The sequence below is a fragment of the Homo sapiens genome, chromosome 14 (assembly GCF_000001405.40).
Source record: "Homo sapiens chromosome 14, GRCh38.p14 Primary Assembly".
Classification (NCBI taxonomy): domain Eukaryota; kingdom Metazoa; phylum Chordata; class Mammalia; order Primates; family Hominidae; genus Homo; species Homo sapiens.
The window spans coordinates 23,627,643-23,645,922 of NC_000014.9; the positions used below are offsets into that span (position 1 = coordinate 23,627,643).

Here is an 18,280-nt window from a genome sequence, read left to right on the forward strand (position 1 = left end):
TGACCTTCTTCTAGGAATACTTGACTGGTAAAGGAAGAATGCCTCAAGTGAGCCTGTGTACAACTCCAGTAAACACACTGTGCATGCAGCCCCCTCCCAAGTGCTGGCAGGCCACTGTGCATGCAGACAGCCCAAGGTAAGAATCAGGGGAGAAGTAACACAACCCTGGAAGCCTGGCAACATATAAGACACCAAGTCAAAGGTCAAACTGGGCAGTTGATCTCTCAAGTCACCTGCTTGGCCCTCTTCTAAGTGCACTTTACTTTCTTTCATTCCTGCACTAAAGCTTTTTAACAAACTTTCACTCCTGTTCAAAAAGTTCCCCCAGTTTCTCACTCTGCCTTGTGCCCCTCAGTCGAATTCTTTCTTCTGAAGAGGCAAAAACTGAAGTTGCTGCAGACCCATATGGATTTGCTGTTGCTAACATACTTTGGTGCAATGTGACTCATATGTTCCCTAGTGGTAACATCTTTAGGTCTCAGATCCTGATAGGGACCAGAAAGCTCTGGAATTCTCTGTGCAACAAAAGATTACATCAGGGACAGAACGCACTCCCAGCTGAAGAGTGACTCAATTATTAGGTTGGTGCAAACGTAATTGCAGTTTTTGCATTGTTGAAATTTGCTGTTTGATATTGGAATACATTCTTAAATAAATATGCTTATGTTGGCCGGGCACGGTGGCTCACGCCTGTAATCCCAGCATTTTGGGAGGCCAAGGCAGGTGGATCACGAGGTCAGGGGATAGAGACCATCCTGGCTAACATGGTGAAACCCCATCTGTACTAAAAATACAAAACAAAATTAGCCGGGTGTGGTGGCAGGTCCCTGTAGTCCCAGCTACTCAGGAGGCTGAGGAAGGAGAATGGCATGAACCCAGGAGGCGGAGCTTGCGGTGAGCCAAGGTCACACCATTGCACTCCAGCCTGGGCGACAGAGTGCGACTCCGTCTCAAAAAAAAAAAAAAAAAAGAGAAAAAAAATATATATGCGCTTATGTTATATATCATTTTAATGTGCATTTCTTGCTTTGCATTTTTTTTGGCTAAGGACTTGTTACTTGCTGTTTATTTTATACTTATTTTAGACTATGGAAATGGTGTTAGACAAAAAGCAAATTTGAGCGATTTTCTTATTTGAGTTCAAAATGGGTTGTAAAGCAGTGCAGACAACTCACATCATCAACAATGCATTTGGCCCAGGAGCTGCTAACAAATGTACAGTGCAGTGGTGGTTCAAGAAGTTTTGCAAAGGAGACGAGAGCCTTGAAGATGAGGAGTATAGTGGCTGGCCATTGGAAGCTGATGACAAATTGAGAGCAATTATCCAAGCTGATCCTCTTACAACTGCACTAGAAGTTGCTGACCATTCTACATTCAGCATTTGAAGCAAATTGGAAAGATGAAAAAGCTCAATAAATGGATACCTCATGAGCTGACTCAAAGTCAAAAAAATTATTATTTTAAAGTGTCATCTTCTCTTATTCTATGCAACAACAGTGAACCACTATCCAGTTGAAAAGTGAATTTTATATGACAACCAGCAATGACCACTTACCAAAGCCAAACTTGCACCAAAAAAAGGCCATGGTCACTGTTTGGTGGTCTGCTGGTCTGATCCACTACAGCTTTCTGAATCCTGGCAAAACCATTACTTCTGAGAAGAATGCTCAGCAAATTGATGAGATGCACTGAAAACTGCAACACCTGCAGCAGGCATCGGTCAACAGAAAAGGCCCAGTTTTCCATGACAATGTCCAACCACTCATTGCACAACCAACACTTCAGAAGTTGAATTAACTGGGCTTTGAAGTTTTGCCTCATCTGTCATATTCACCTGACCTCTCACCAACTGACTACCACTTCTTCAAGTATCTCGACAACTTTTTGCAGGGAACACACTTCCACAACCAGCAGGATGCAGAAAATGCTTTCCAAGAGTTTGCTGAATCCTGAAGCATGGATTTTTATGCTACAGGAATAAATAAACTTATTTCTCATTGGCAAAAATGTGTTGATTGTAATGGTTCCTATTTTTATTACTAAAGATGTGTTTGAGCCTAGTTATAATGATTTAAATAATTTAATTATTATTATATTATTAATACTATATAATTAGTCATATTCTGTATTCCAAACCCTTTCTTTGAAAACTCCTACGTTCCCTCCACGAATTGAAGAGTGGAATTGCTTTCTACTCTTCCCCTGCTAGCATGGATAATAAAGACATCTTGCTCCCTCTTATCATAACTATTATTATTTTGACTTCTTTCCACAAGCAGCAAGCAGCTGGACTCTTTTGCTGGTTATGCTTGTTAAGTGGTATGTGCAGCATTCTGCAGAATATTACTCAGACAACAAGTCCTGCACTTCCCCTAGGTTTCCTCCCAAGTTGTGGGTGAGGCCTTTTCTGAAACCCTCCTCCAACCTTTCTGAATTCTGGGGCTATAAATTCCAGGAATCTTTGTGTTGTTCAGATAGAATCTGCAGTGCCTGAAATCCAGCCTGCTGCTTACTCACATCCTCATACTCAGCTGCAGACTGCCTGACAGAAGGGCTGCCAAACTGCACTCCAGACAGACAGGTGCACAGCCAGGTAAGCCTGGGCCAGCATCACACTGCCCAGGGCAGGCATGATGTGGCTCAGGCTGGGGCTGCCTTGCCTCACTGCCTTGGGTTGGGTCTATAATGACTGGAACTGCCCATCTTCACTCCTGTTCACTTTTTATGTTGATGCTCTTTCTTCCTGCCTCTATGTCTGCAGCTCAGTCTATTTCTTCTTTGATTATCAATACAAAGCTCTTGGGGCTATCAAAGTCCTTTGGACCACCCAAGTCAACCCCTTATTTTACTGTGATACAGATGGAGGCAAGAGGGGAACAGACTTGTCCAAGATCACACAGCTTCTGCTGATATCTCCTTAGTGCTGATGAAAAAGAGTCAAACTGTAAAATATTTGAAGAGATTTATTCTGAGCCAAATGTGAGGACCATGACCCATGACACAGGTCCAGGAGGTCCTGGGAATATATTCCCAAGGTGGTTGGGTTGCAGCTTGATTTTATACATCTTAGGAGAACAGAAGCTACAGGCAGAGACACAAATCAATACATGTAAGGATTACATTGTTTTGGCCCAGAAAGGCAGGACATCTTGAAGTGGGGGCTTCCAGGTCACAGGTAGATTTAAAGATTTTCTGATTGGCAAGTGGTTGAAAGGGTTAAGCTCTGCCTAAAGAGTTGAGGTCAATAGAAAGATATGTTTGTAGTTAAGATAAGGGGAGTTGTGGGAGCCAAGGTTCTTGTTAACGTAGATGAAGCCTCCAGGTAGTAGGCATCATAGATAATAGATTGTAAATATTTTTTATCAGATCCTAAAAGGTGCCAGACTCTTAGTTAAATCTCTCTTGGATCAGGAAAAGACCTGGAAAGAGAAGGGGATTTTCTATAGGATGTAAATTTTCCTCACAAGAGACAGCTTTGCAGGGCCATTTCAAAAAATGTCAAAGAAATGCATTTTGATGTAAAATACTTCAGTTTTTTTCAGGACCTGCTATCTGTCATGTGATGCTATACTAGAGTCAGGTTAGAATTTGGTATCTTATTGCTAAAAGTCTGTTTTTTCAGCCCTAAGATCTCCATTTTACTGTTAATGCTGGTCAGTCATGCCTGAACTCAAAAGGGAGGAGGGTATAATGAGGCATGTCCAACCCTGTATTCCCATCATGGCCTGCACTGGTTTTTTAAGTTGACTTTGGAATGCCCTTTGCCAAGCAGAGGAGTGCTTTCAGTTGGTTGGGGAGCTTAGAATTTTATTTCCTGTTTACATTATTCTCTTTTCTGATTTTCAATATTTCTAACTCTTCCATGTCTCTCATTCTTTCTCCTCTAATCTTTGTTTTCTTCCTCTACCCCCCCCACCCCTTTCCTTTTCCCTTCTCTTCTCTCTTTGGACCAGTGCTGAAGGCCATTCACCTCCAAGATGGGACTAGGTTAAGGGTGTGCCCATTCAGCTTCCCCACCCCCAAATTTGGGCATCTGAATTGATAAGCATGGAAAGGGGTATCAGAGTGGGCAGTGCCAGGCTCAGGGACCATTCTAAGCTCCCAGGACCTGTGGTCAATTCTGCTGCAGCTGACCGAGCTGACTGTTTTGGGGAAAGCATAAGTGAGTGGGGTAGGGTGAACCAGAGGCCTTGGAAGCTGCTCACTCTTCCCATCCTCCCAGGCAAAAGAGGGGCTTTGCATGGGAAGGGGAAGCAGGGGAGACAGAGGAGGCCTGACTTCATCTCTGCAGGTTGTTTACCTGCAACAGTCCAGGCAGAGTTGCCTTTCCTTACAATAGGTCAGCTTTCCTGCAAACCACATTGAGGCAAGTTCAGACAAGCAGGGCTTGGTAAGAACTGTTAGAGGCCAGAAAGGGGACAGCCAGACTTGCTGAGCTAGGAACACATCTCACAGGTGCTGTTACTCTAGCCTTCCAGCAGGGGGCGTCCTGTCCCGACAAAAGGCGAGTCCTCTTTTTCCTGCTGTCCTCCCAGCCAAGGAGACTGGATTCCTCTCAACCTCAAAAGGGGGTTAATCTGAGCTCGCAGCAGAAGGAGAGGAGTTCCCCAGGGGGGGCATAACAATGTTCAGAATCTGGTGTCCTGTTTAGAAAAGGTAGACCAATCAGGAGCTGAAACCCCTTGTCTCCACGTAATGCAAGGCTGTAAATATGACCTTGCAGGAAGGAGAGAGGCGTGAGAGAGTAAGCGAGAGCAACAGCAGGCAGAGTGGAAGCAGCTGGGAGGAAAGAGGGAGGAGGTCTAGGACCTACAAAGATTGTTTTTGGAAATACAATATCAGAAGAGATATAAATCGGAAATCAAGGCTTCCTTCCCAAAGCAAAGCATTTGGTCGCCTGCATTTTGACACTGAGTACAGACTGATATTTAATAGACAGTTTCTTCACAATTCCTGAGCAGCACCCATTCACTTATAATTTATAGATACAGACCCCTAACTCGAAGGAACTGAGTTATGCAAGAGTTGCTAAGGAACAAGGGGAGATGCAGTAGGTAAGGCAGGGGTTGCTTAGTAACCAGGAGTCCCTTGGTGATGGAGTGGCCAGAGCATGTCTGGAACTGATGAGGGTCTGTAGACAGAGTCATCCCAGGCCAGAGCCTCCTGCAAGTTCACATCTGTCGGCCCCTTGGCCCAGAGCTGCCAGAGCCTGCCTCTCTTCACCTTCCTGGCACTGTCCTGTCCCACATGAAAAGCACACTGCTAAGTCCCTGAGTGCCCTGCTAACTAACCCCTTGCTGGAACCACTCCTTCCCTCCCTCTCTCAACAGGAAGCTCATCAGATTCTTCCATTAGAGTAGGGAATGGCAGGCCAATGGGAATCCCACATAGGGGAAGGCAGGAGCCTCTGGGCTAACATGAATGTGGAGCTGGGAAATTAGGATTTGGGTGAAAGAGGGTCTCCTAGACAAGCATCCCTGGCATTTTCCAGTTCATGGTGATATATCTTCATACCTGAGTCTCCCATGCCAGATCCTCTCCCTGCCTTCACATCTGCGCATAGCTACAGAGGCACACCGTTCCCTTCTGAAGGGCCTCCTGAGGGCACAGGTCTCCACACAGCAGCCTGGATGTCTGTGGCTGGTTTAACTGGCTCAGCTCCACGGACATCCCTTCAGAGAGCTTCAATCAGCACCGGCCTGCTGGAGTCATTCAGAACTGCAGTCTGCTTTCTCAGGCATGAGCCCCCCATTCTCTGTATTCCAGGCACATAGGCATCCCTGCTCTCTCCCAAACACCCTGGACATCCACACCCTCCATTCTTCCTCTCAGCCTGTTCCCCTTGACAGGAGGATCTATCCTGTTGCTGCCCCTGTCAAAATCCTCCTCAGTCTTGCAGGTCCTATCTACCTGCAACTTTCCCAGCCTGATTAGCTCACCAGCCTTATTGAGCACTCCTGTGTTTCAAGCCCTGGGCCCCAAGAGGGAGGAGTGGAGCCTGTGTTCAAGGAACTCACATGACACTCATTACTGATCCTCTGCTTCCTGGCTAGGATACTCCATGAAAGCCCTCTGTGAACTGAATGTTTAAAATCAGAAAGTTTTGCTTATTTAAAGCAAAGCCCTTTGCATAGAACAACTTTGAGAAAGTATCTGAGATGCTGGCAAATTTTCTTCTGAGAAGGGAATTGGAGGATTTAATTTTTGAATTAAGTTTTAAGCTGCTTGAATTTTAAAATTTACCATGAGCAGGTAATCTTTACTTTTAAACTTTTAAATTGTGAATTATAACACATACGTAAAAAGTATACACATACATAGGTGATATAATATATCTTCATGGACATCATGTAGGCATCACTTGCTTATCAAATACAACATTGCCAGCACGCTAGAAGCTCTTTAGTTTGCCCCTTCTTTTTTTTTTTTTTTTTTTTTTTTTTGAGACGGAGTCTCCCTCTGTCACCCAGGATGGAGTGCAGTGGTGCAATCTTGGCTCACTGCAACCTCCAACTCCTGGGTTCAAGCGACTCTCCTGCCTCAGTCTCCCAAGTAGCTGGGACTATAGGCATGCGCCACCACACCTGGCTAATTTTTGTATTTTTAGTAGAGATGAGGTTTCACCATGTTGGCTAGGCTGGTCTCCATCTCCTGACCTCAAGTGATCCCCCTGCCTTGGCCTCCAAAGTGCTGGGATTACAGGCATGAGCCACCGTGCCTAGCCTGTTTGCACCTTCTTAATCATAACTGCCTCCCCACAGCTCTACTGCGGAAATACCCACTCTCCTCACTTTTGTGGTGATCACTGCCCTGCATTTCTCTGTATTTTTGTCACCTGTTTGCCTTCTTAAGCAATATAGAATTGTTTTACCTGTTGTTGAAACTTGTGGACTCAAATAATATGTATTCTTTTGTGTCTGACTTCTTTTACTCAACAGTATATTTTTTAAGATTCCTTTATGTTGTTCAGTGTGGCTTCAGCTCATTCATTTTCATTATTGTATAGTATTCCATTATAGAAATGCAACACAGTTTGTTTATCCATTCCACCGTTAATAGGCATATAGACTTTGATATGGTTTAGGTCTGTGTCCCTGCCCAAATCTCATGTCGAATTGTAATCCCCAATGTTGGAGGAGGGGGCCTAGTGGAAGGTGATTGGATCATGGGGGCAGATTTCCCCCTTGCTGCTCTTGTGATAGTGAGTGAGTTCTCATGAGATCTGGTTGTTTGGAAGTGTGTAGCACCTCCCCCTTTGCTCTCACTTCCTCCTGCTCCAGCTGTGTAAGTTCTGCCTGCTTCATTTCACCTTCTGCCTTAATTGTAAGTTTCCTGAGGCCTTCCCAGCCATGCTTCCTGTACAGCCTGTGGAATTGTGAGTCAATTAAACCTCTTTTCTTTATAAATTACCCAGTCTCAGGTAGTTCTTTTTTTTTTTGAGACAGGGTCTTGCTCTCTCTCCCAGGCTGGAGTACGGTGGTGCAATCTCAGCCTACCACAGCCTTGACCTCCTGGGCTCAAGCAATCGTCCCATCTTAGTCTCCCGAGTAGCTGTGACTACAGGCATGCACCACCACACCCAGCTAATTTTTATAGAGACATGGTTTCACCTTGTTGCCCAGGCTGGTCTCAAACTCCTGAGCTCAAGGGATCTGCCCACCTTGGCCTTCCAAAGTACTGGGATTACAGGTGTGAGCTACCGTGCCTGGCCTCAGTTAGTTCTTTATAGCAGTGTGAAAACAAACTAATACAGACTTGTTTCCAGTTTGGAACATTCTAAGCAGGCTTCTCTGAACCTGTGTGTACAGTCTCTTGGTGCACACATGACCTCCTGTCTGCAGGATGCAAGTTCCCTCTACAGAGTCAGAGATCTTTATTTTCAACTTCTCCGTATAATGCCAAATCATTTCCCAAAGTGATTGTACTTACCCTCTACCCAGCAGTGAATGAGAGTTTCTGTTGATTTTGCTTTTTCAACTAGAAGTGAGAGGTGACAATATGCTAGCAGCCCTTGCTCACTCTTGGTGCCTCCTCGTCCTCCACATCCACTCTGGCTGCACTTGAGGAGCCCTTCAGCCCACCACTGCACTGTGGGGGCCCCTCTCTGGGGCTGGCCAAGGCCGAAGCCAGCTCCCTCTGCTCGCCAGGAGGTGTGGAGGGAGAGGCGCCGGCAGGAGCCCACACTGTACAGGGCACTCACCGGCCAGCAGGGGCTCCGTGGGCCGGCCGGTGCCAGCTGGGCCTGACTGGGGGATGAGCTCCCTCTGGGCTGCTGGAGTGCCTGGGCTAGGTGCCGCAAAGTCCTGCAGTGTGTGCCATTGAGAGGTGAAGCCGGCTGGGCTTCTGGGTCCGGTGGGGACCTGGAGAACTTTTCTGTCTAGCTAAAGGTTTGTAAATGCACCCATCAGCACTCTGTGTCTAGCTAAAGGTTTGTAAATGCACCAATCAGCAATCTGTGTCTAGCCAATCTGGTGGGGACTTGGAGAACTTTTGTGTCTAGCTAAAGGATTGTAAATGCACCAATCAGCACTCTGTGTCTAGCTAAAGGTTTGTAAATGCACCAATCAGCACTCTGTCAAAACGGACCAATCAGCTCTCTGTAAAACAGACCAATCAGCTCTCTGTAAAATGGACCAATCAGCTCTCCATAAAATGGACCAATCAGCAGGATGTGGGTGTGGCCAGTTAAGGGAATAAAAGCAGGCTGCCTGAGCCGGCAGCAGCAACCTGCTCTGGTTCCCTTCCACGCTGTGGAAGCTTTGTTCTTTTGGTCTTCATGATAAATCTTGCTGCTGCTCACTCGTTGGGTCCGTGCCACCTTTAAGAGCTGTAACACTCACCGCGAAGGTCTGCAACTTCACTCCTGGGGCCAGCAAGACCACGAATGCACCGAGAGGAATGAACAACTCTGGACACACCATCTTTAAGAACCGTAATACTCACCGCAAGGGTCTGCAACTTCATTCTTGAAGTCAGTGAGGCCAAGAACCCATCAATTCCGTACACATTTTGGTGACTTTGAAGAGACTGTCACCTATCACCAAGTGGTGAGACTATTGCCAAGCAGTGAGACTATTGCCAAGTGGTGAGACCATCACCAAGCGGTGAGACTATCACCTATCGCCAAGTGGTGAGTACCATCAGATCCCTTTCATTTGCTATTCTGTCCTATTTTTCCTTAGAATTCGGTGGCTAAATTCTGGGCACCTGTCGGCCAGTTAAAAGTGACTAGCGCAGCCGCTGGACTAAAAACGTGGGTGTCAGGCTTTCTGGGAAAGGGATCTCTAACAACCCCTGGCTCTGTGGAGTTGGGAATGTTGTTTTGCCTGGAACCAGCTTCCGCTTTTCCTGTACTTCTGGGCTGAGCTGAGGGTCAACAGAGAGGAAAGCCATTCAGCTCCGGAGTCCCCACAACAAGTTGGTTGACCCTGCGGCCATGAGCGGAACTCTCAAAGGCATGTTGCCCAAGTGAGACTCACCTATCTATCCTATCTATCCTGACCCTTGCTCGCTGGGTCCTAATGCCTGCCAGACAAACTTTCTCTCTCCTCTCTTCTCCTAGGCTAGTCCCACTTCTAAAAAACCACTCCCTGTCTCTGGTGCTTTTCTAATTTCTCTTATAAGAATGATTTCTAGTAAAAATTTCAGGACTCTGTTACCTTCTTTAGGCACCTGGGCTCACCAATCAGAAAGACATAATTTTTGCCCAAAGCCCAGTTGTAGGGGGAACTATCTGGAATTTTAGAATCCCTCCTCAGATAAGCAGGTCTAACAAAAGCTATTCCTGAAGCTAGGATAGGGGGAGCCTCAGAAATTGTATCCTTCCTATTCATATAAGTGAGGACAAAAGGTGTCACTTTTCCAACCCTGGAGACCCCTTCCCTCCCTCAGGTTACTCTTCTTCATTTTTGGGGCATAACATCTTTATAGGACACGGGTAAGTTCCCAATACTAACAGGAGAATGCTTAGGACTCTAACAGGTTTTCGAGAATGCGTCGGTAAGGGCCACTAAATCCGATTTTTCTCGGTCCTCCTCATGGTCTAGGAGGACAAGCAAGGGTGCAGCACTCTATGTCTAGCTAATCAGGTGGGGACTTGGAGAACTTTTGTGTCTAGCGAAAGGATTGTAAATGCACCAATCAGCACTCTGTGTCTAGCTAAAGGTTTGTAAACACAGCAATCAGCACTCTGTCAAAATGGACCAATCAGCTCTCTATAAAACAGACCAATCAGCTCTCTGTAAAATGGACCAATCAGCAGGATGTGGACAGGGCCAGATAAGGGAATAAAAGCAGGCCACCCGAGCCAGCAGCAGCAACCTGCTTGAGTCCCCTTCCACACTGTGGAAGTTTTGTTCTTTCGCTCTTTGCAATAAATCTTGATTCACTGCTGCTCACTCTTTGGGTCCGCGCTGCCTTTAAGAGCTGTAACACTCACCACGAAGGTCTGCAACTTCACTCCTGAGGCCAGTGAGACCACAAACCCTCCAGAAGGAATGAACAACTCCAGACGCACTGCCTTTAAGAGCTGTAACACTCACTGCGAAGGTCTGCAGCTTCACTCCTGAAGCCAGCAAGACCACTAACCCACCAGGAGGAATGAACAACTCCGGACGGGAGGAATGAACAACTCCGGATGGGAGGAATGAACAACTCCGGACACACCATCTTTAAGAACTGTAACACTCATTGCGAGGGTCCGTGGCTTCATTCTTGAAGTCAGCGAGACCAAGAACCCACCAATTCCAGACACAGAAGCAGTTAATTAATAACTGGTATAATTATTTGTTGGTGCCTGGCATCTCATTTAACTGGGAAGCTGCATGGTTGGGGTCCAGGGCTGAGTCTGTCGTTTACTAAGGTGTCCCCGCCTCTACTGCCCAGTGCTTGACACATTGCCAGTGCTCAATGTTTGCTATGCAATGGATGGAAAAATCACCCTTGTCTAATGAATGTTGAGTCTCACATTTTAATTTGTGAATAATTTCCCCAGTTTTATAGCTTAGGAGTTTTCATGGATTGCTTTCCTGACCTGAGGTTCACATGTTTGAAATTTACCCTAACCAGCCTGACTCTCTGCCACTTTCTGTTGCTGGCCTTGTCTGTCTGGAGGAAGGAGGAGGGTAGATTACCTTCATGCTCACTGAGGCATCAGTGATAAGTGAAATTGATTCTTTCCCCCAGGCCTGATTCAGCAGGAAGCATCTCAGACACCAACCACTATGCTGTCAGCAGTTGCCCGGGGCTACCAGGGCTGGTTTCATCCCTGTGCTAGGCTTTCTGTGAGGATGAGCAGCACCGGGATAGACAGGAAGGGCGTCCTGGCTAACCGGGTAGCCGTGGTCACGGGGTCCACCAGTGGGTGAGTGCTGGATTGCCCATGGGTCCTGGCCCCTCACAGGGTCCTTGTGGCTTCCACAAGGACTCAGGGTTTTAAAGCAAGACCCAGCCTTATTTGCTGATTTCCAGAGCTGGGTAGAGGAAGGACAGTGGAGAGAGGCTGAGGCTGACTTTTGCCCTCCATCTCTGCATTCAGGATCGGCTTTGCCATCGCCCGACGTCTGGCCCGGGACGGGGCCCACGTGGTCATCAGCAGCCGGAAGCAGCAGAACGTGGACCGGGCCATGGCCAAGCTGCAGGGGGAGGGGCTGAGTGTGGCGGGCATTGTGTGCCACGTGGGGAAGGCTGAGGACCGGGAGCAGCTGGTGGCCAAGGTGAGGGGGCAGGCGGTGGAAGGACACAGAGAGGGGAACATGCAGAACCTTTCCTTCACTGCTTGGCCCTTGTGGGGTGGGTCTAGAATATGTCCTGAGACCATGACTGCACCCAGGCTGCCCAAGCTAACCTCGCTACCCAGAAGGTCCCTCAGGAAAGTGACCTGTTCGTGAGAGGACCCTCACCCCACCCCCAGGCCCGGGGAGAATCACTGTGGAGGAGGAGTCTGAAGGGGTGAGGGAGGTCCCCAGAGGGACTCCTGGAGCAGACCTTCCTCTCTCAGTGCCTGGCCCCAGGAGCCTGCCCTTGGGACACCTAGGTCATTTTCCTTTAGGAGCTCTGCAAGCTTTGCCTGAAGGCCTTATGACCTGGGCTGCCCTGGGAGGGATAGTCCTCCTCAGGCCATCTCCACACTCATCCAATCTCCTCTCCGCAGGCCCTGGAGCACTGTGGGGGCGTCGACTTCCTGGTGTGCAGCGCAGGGGTCAACCCTCTGGTAGGGAGCACTCTGGGGACCAGTGAGCAGATCTGGGACAAGGTGAGAGGCCTCCCCTGGGGAGGCGGCTGAGGGCCCGATTCCAGCTCTGCACTGGGCTCCAGCATGCCTGTGCCCACCAAGACTCTGTTTCCCTCCAGAGGTTATGGGAGAAGCAGGCCCTGGGTGGTAGTCCTGCCTGGCCAGCTGTCTCCCAAAATGTGCCCGGATGCTACTTTCTGGCTTGTTGGTTCTTAAATCTGGCCCCCACACTTTCTGCTTTGTTTTCTCTTCTCATCACTTTTTCATTTAATCATTCAGCAGGTATTTATTGCTGTCTGCCAGGCACCACTATTCCAGGCTCTAGGGATACAGCTGTGAATGGTTAGTCAGAGTCTCTCTGTAAGAGTCAAACATTTTTGTATGGTACACCCTTTTGTAGGGGAAGATACGGATACTGTGTTTTTCTTTGGTGACCTGTGCCTGTAGCGGAGACTGTCTCTCCTAGAAGGGGGCTCCTCACTGAGTCCCACACAAACTTGCCGACAGGACCAGATCCAGCCATCAGCATTCCGGGGGCTTAGACATCCCAGCCTGCTGTAAGTCCATTCAAGGATTCTGCTACCTTGTCCACAAGGGACCGGGAGAGACCTTGTAAAATGCCTTGAAGCTCATCTTGGGCCTAGTTGTTCCCCAGTGACTTCTGTTCCCTTCACTCTCATGTTTTGTTTTCTGTTCTCTCTGCCAGAATGCGTCGTGATGAATCTCATTCTTTCTGCTATTGTGAGCATTCACCACTCTGCCCTAAGCACTGGGTCAAAGTGTTTCCTGCCTTCTGGCCTTAGAGTGTTCTGCCTTCCCTAGATCCTGCACTCTCACTTGCCAACATCATCTTCAGGCTGGCCCCTCCCTTCTATCTGCCCTTGGCTGGGTGCCCTTGGCTACATCCTCAGAGATGATCTGAAATTTGAGCTCCCTGCAGCCCCTGCTGAGCAGCTTCCCCAGGCTCTTTAGCTATGTTGTTAATGCCTCCAAAGGATCATTTGTGATTTTATAGCTGGGATTTTATTGCTGACAGTCTCCTAACCCTCCTGAATCATTTTGCTGTTTAGTGTCTCAGTTCACAGGATCATGACTCTTTTTCTCGAAACTGTTGCAGTCCTCCCTCCTGAAGCTGAGGGCAGATGCCAACAATCTGACCTTACTTTCTCTGATTCTCCCCTGTTCTCCAAGGACTTGGCCTTCAGTGAGCAATTCTGTACCACTGGACAGAAATCATTGATGACTCGTCCCCGATCACATCTGCCATCACCTCAGAGGTGAAATTGTCACAAAATGAGTTTAGAATTTACCAGATGCTCTGCTTTCAACTAAATGTGTTTTCCGTAGGTGTCCTGTAAGGAGAATTCCTTACCACTCATCTTATTCTTGAGCCAGTTTTGAGGCCATCTCCAGGCAGACCCCCCTTCTTTCCAGCAGGTTGGGAAACCTCTGATCTGTTAAACTACCAAAACCACATCACCTCCATCCTTCTCCAGCGACTCCAGCGTGCGCCCTCTTTCAGGCTCATGGATAGTTCTCTGCTCAGAACTACTTGGCACACTGAGCTACTCTCTCTTACTTTCTAATGGGGCAGTTTTCTTCATCAAGGGAGGGAGTCTCACCTTTTCTTTGGCTTGGTTTTTGTTCCTGAGTCCAGGAGGGGTCTTACCTCAGCCCCTCACTCAGCCTGATGCACATGGAGTATTGGACAGATATCCTGTGGGCTGGTTGGGGTCTGTTTTGACCAGGAAACCCTTACAGCTAACCTAATCCTCAATTCCTTCTTATTAGGGACCTCAGGGTGGTACCCACTTCTGACATCTGGACCACTTCTTGCAGTCATTGGGGGTCATCCCCCACACTGGTAACCTGTCATCAAATGGGCCACAGCAACATTCAGCTTAAGTATTTCTCCTTCCCACATCCAAGGGATTGAGTGGGAGTGAGATTGGGGGGTGGAAAAAACAGTGAACAGTCCTGGTGAGTTGCAGATGTGGTCTCATTCCCTAGAGATGCAGGATGCAGCTGACCTGAATCAGGACAGATCCCTGCAGGAGGGACTCCTGGTGCCATGTCAGTCCCACCTGGCACTGCCCTAGCTCCCAGGCTCCGCCTCTGCATCTTTCCTTGCTACTTCCTCTTTCACTTCTCCCCCGTTCCCAGACCCACCAGACAGAGCTTCCAGAGTGTCAGGACATGTGTGACTTAGCCCAGATTCAGACTTTAGTCACAAGCAGGATCAGCATAGACATCTAGCTCCCAGCATGGCAATTCTCTGTTGTGTCTCCCTGTTTGTATTGGCTGCAGGAAAGCTCAGAGCCAAGTCTGCGATAAGCTGGTGTGTGTAGGCCCTTACAGCCTGCATTTTTATGACCAAATAATAGAATAAATGCTCAGTCCTTATCACATGCTGTGAACTGTAGGCACCAACCTCACTCTTGCTTTTTCTTATTTTTCTACACTGATTTTTCCTTTTCTCCATTTCTTCACACATAGTACCTATTTGATTTATTTTATGCTGTTGCATTGTGAGTATGCCTTAAATTCTATGGGGACAAGGTAAGAGGACAAGCAAATGAAAGCTCAGAGAGACAAAAAAGGCTCTTCCAGAAATCTCCCTTGCTTCTAGCACCTGCTTCCCCTCCATCAGGCTGTCTTCAGTCTTTCTCCAGAGGCCTCTGCTTACAGTGTGTTGTTGTTTTCTTTTTAAGAGACAGGGTCTCACTCTGTCACCCAGGCTGGAGTGCAGTGGCATGATCATGGCACACTGCAGCTTCAAACTCCTGGGCTTAAGGGATCCTCCTGCCTCAGCCTCCTGAGTAGCTAGGATTATAGGTGTGCACCACCACACCAGGCCAATTATTTAAAAATCTTGTAGAGACAAGGTCTCACTATGTTGCTCAGGCTGGTCTTGAACTTTTGGCCTTGAGTAATCCTCCCACCTTGGCCTCCTAAAGTGCTGAGATTACAGGCATGACCCACTGCCCCCAGTCCCCATTTTCTTTAAAAGGCCTGAACATTTCCTTCCTCGTGTCAGTCCTGAACAATTCACATTTTCAGGGCTCTGCTCACAGGCCTGTGACTTAGCCTGCCTGCCTATGAAACCATTAGCAAATTGGAAATACCTCTTGCACCAGTCAGAAGGGGGATTGGTTTCTCTTATATGCACATACATTGGGTCTACTGCACAAATTACAGGGCTCCAAGTGTCTTATGAGAGCAGGACTTGGGCTGACCATGTCTCTCTGCCCTCACCCATGCTCTGCTCTGATTTCAGATCCTAAGTGTGAACGTGAAGTCCCCAGCCCTGCTGCTGAGCCAGTTGCTGCCCTACATGGAGAACAGGTATGGCAGGGCGGGGGTGGGGACCAGTCGGAGTTGGGGACCTGAGGTGGGCACAGAAATACAGTCGGTAGCACAGCCAGTAGTGGGTAGAGGACAGAAGAGGTCTGGGATCTCCACATCCCTCATCTTCTTGTCCTGCCTCCCCATCTGTGTGGCTGCCATTCCCAATTCCAGTGGCTGCAGGATGAGAGTAGTATTCCAGGGGCCCAGGCATAGCCTCCTTGGCCTTGACATCAGCAGGTTTGGGACAAGGCTATGCTTTAACTCCTTGACCTTGTGGGCTGGTCATTGTCACCTTACCTGCTCTCTGTTCTTACCAACTTAAAACCAATGACAGGGTTAGCCCCATTCCTCTCCATAGGAAAAAGCCTGTCCCAGACCTCTCCTCATGCCTGCGCTTGGTCTCCAGGGACCCTGCCTGTGTTCCAGGTCCTGCAGATCTGACTGTACCCCTCACAGACACACCCTTAGGAACTGGCCAGGGGCTGTCTTCAGTAGAAGGAAAGTTCCTGACTGTCACTTCTGGTCTCCCTTACCCCATCTGCTCCTTAGAGGTTGCTCATTGATAGGCACTCACCATCAGCCTTGGGTGCCTCTTCACAAAGCCCACCCTGCCCTCTCCTTCAAGCACCTGGCAAGAGAGGAAGCAGAAGATAAGGGTTCTGAGCATGGACATCGTATTTATGAGAAATAGGCATGGAATCCTAGCTCTGCCGTGTATTGGCTGGTACTAAACCTTTCTGAGCCTCAGTTTTCTGAACTCTGAGATGGGGACAGTAATAGGACCTGTGTTGCTTCTGTGAGGGTTGCATCATTTAATGAACTCATGATAGTGTCACCATCAGTGGTAAGCTCTTAGCTTCAGCTTCTCTTATGTTTGTCTTGTCTCAGGAGGGGTGCTGTCATCCTGGTCTCTTCCATTGCAGCTTATAATCCAGTAGTGGTAAGTGCTTGGTCCTTGTGCTCCTGAGTGGTATAGGGTGAGGGGCAACTTTGTTCTTTTCCTCAGAGCCTTACAGACAAAGTGCCTGGGACAGACCCCCACCATCCTCCTGCTGCCCTGGGCTGAGCTTGTCTCCATGTGGGTGGGAGGGCTGCTGGGCCTGTGAGATCCCTGTAGGTGAGAAATCCAACTGATGCTTTCCCCCACTCTCCCATATCCTAATCACTCTGTCAATTCCCTTCCCAGGCGCTGGGTGTCTACAATGTCAGCAAGACAGCGCTGCTGGGTCTCACTAGAACACTGGCATTGGAGCTGGCCCCCAAGGACATCCGGGTAAACTGCGTGGTTCCAGGAATTATCAAAACTGACTTCAGCAAAGTGGTGAGGATTGGGTGTGTCTTCCATCTCCCAGTCTGGCTCAGTGGGAACCCTTCCCAGTGAATAAGGGATCAAGGGGTGACTGAATCCTTAGGTCAGCATGCCTATGACTGAGGTCCTCATTGTTCTCTGAACTCAGCCATGGTGCAGTCCATCCATCCTGAAAAGATGCTCCTTCTTTTGAGAAGGGCAAAGCTGCCCTAGGTGTTCTGCCTGGTGGCCTTCCCGGGGCCCTGCCCATCTTGTTTTAGTAGCACTGACTCCTTCATTTCTTCCCTTTGCCCAGTTTCATGGGAATGAGTCTCTCTGGAAGAACTTCAAGGAACATCATCAGCTGCAGAGGCAAGTGGGGTTTGGAGATTTGGTGGTCCATGTGTGGCTAGGCAGGGGCAGTTGAGTCTATTGCAAGAGCAGACCCCTCCCTGTCATCTGGCCATTGTTTTTGCTGAAATCTGGAGTCCACATGGCCCTGGAGGGTGCAAGTAGCCCTGCTGCATCCACCTTGTTCCCCATGGAGCCCACTCCCACCTGTCATCCGTGAGCCCCAGAGCAGCAGAATCAGAGTACAAGATGCTTGACACTGTGTCCTTCTTCCATCCAGGATTGGGGAGTCAGAGGACTGTGCAGGAATCGTGTCCTTCCTGTGCTCTCCAGATGCCAGCTACGTCAACGGGGAGAACATTGCGGTGGCAGGCTACTCCACTCGGCTCTGAGAGGAGTGGGGGCGGCTGCGTAGCTGTGGTCCCAGGCCCAGGAGCCTGAGGGGGTGTCTAGGTGATCATTTGGATCTGGAGGCAGAGTCTGCCATTCTGCCAGACTAGCAATTTGGGGGCTTACTCATGCTAGGCTTGAGGAAGAAGAAAAACGCTTCGGCATTCTCCTTAGGACTTATCTGCTTGTAGATTTGGCTGATCCAATTAACATGTGGGGTTCTTGGTGTGGGTCTGGGGAGCTGAAGGATTTTATGGAGCTGGTGCTTTGGAGGAATCTTAAGGGAAAGGAGTAGAAGCTCAGGCCTTTGAAGGATTTCAGCTCCTCCTCTCTGTAATTTGTGCTTTAAGCATTTTTTTTCCTAAAATAAACTCAAATTTATCCTCAAGTCTGGAAGCATCTGTCAAGGGTAGAGCCCAGGGCAGCATGGTGGGAAGAGGCCTCTACCGCCAGCTGCCCTGAGCTCGTCGCAGACACACAGAGGCGGGAGTGAGTGTGCTGCCTTGCAGAAGGCTTTGTGTGTGCTCCATTATCTGAACTGGGCCTGCTGGGGGCTCAGCAAGGTGGTGGTGGGTGACAGTGGAAAGATTCTGGGGTTCTCCCAGGGGTCCTCCAGGCTAATACTTCTTAATGTTTTCTGGGCCACACAGGCCTTTGAGAACCCAGAGAAA

The 18,280-nt window shown here is 48.5% G+C and overlaps 1 protein-coding gene across 11 annotated transcripts; it reads left to right on the top strand.

Annotated features, from left to right (window-relative positions):
• The first annotated feature begins 2,472 nt into the window (after positions 1-2,472).
• DHRS2 (dehydrogenase/reductase 2) lies at positions 2,473-17,997 on the top strand. Of its 11 annotated transcripts, none has more exons than XM_005267249.1 (9): positions 2,473-2,593; positions 11,185-11,362; positions 11,537-11,714; positions 12,152-12,253; positions 15,510-15,577; positions 16,469-16,520; positions 16,767-16,901; positions 17,185-17,240; positions 17,500-17,997. In XM_005267249.1, the coding sequence occupies exons 2-9, from the start codon at positions 11,223-11,225 to the stop codon at positions 17,609-17,611; spliced, it is 843 nt and encodes a 280-aa protein (XP_005267306.1). In that variant the 5' UTR covers positions 2,473-2,593; positions 11,185-11,222; the 3' UTR covers positions 17,612-17,997. The 11 variants fall into 11 exon arrangements, 8 of the variants coding, with proteins under 8 accessions (XP_005267306.1, XP_006720064.1, XP_011534641.1 ...); XM_006720001.4 differs by having other exon boundaries at positions 2,473-2,581; NM_182908.5 differs by lacking the exon at positions 2,473-2,593 and adding an exon at positions 8,722-9,130 and having other exon boundaries at positions 16,767-16,912.
• Positions 17,998-18,280: the final 283 nt, after the last annotated feature.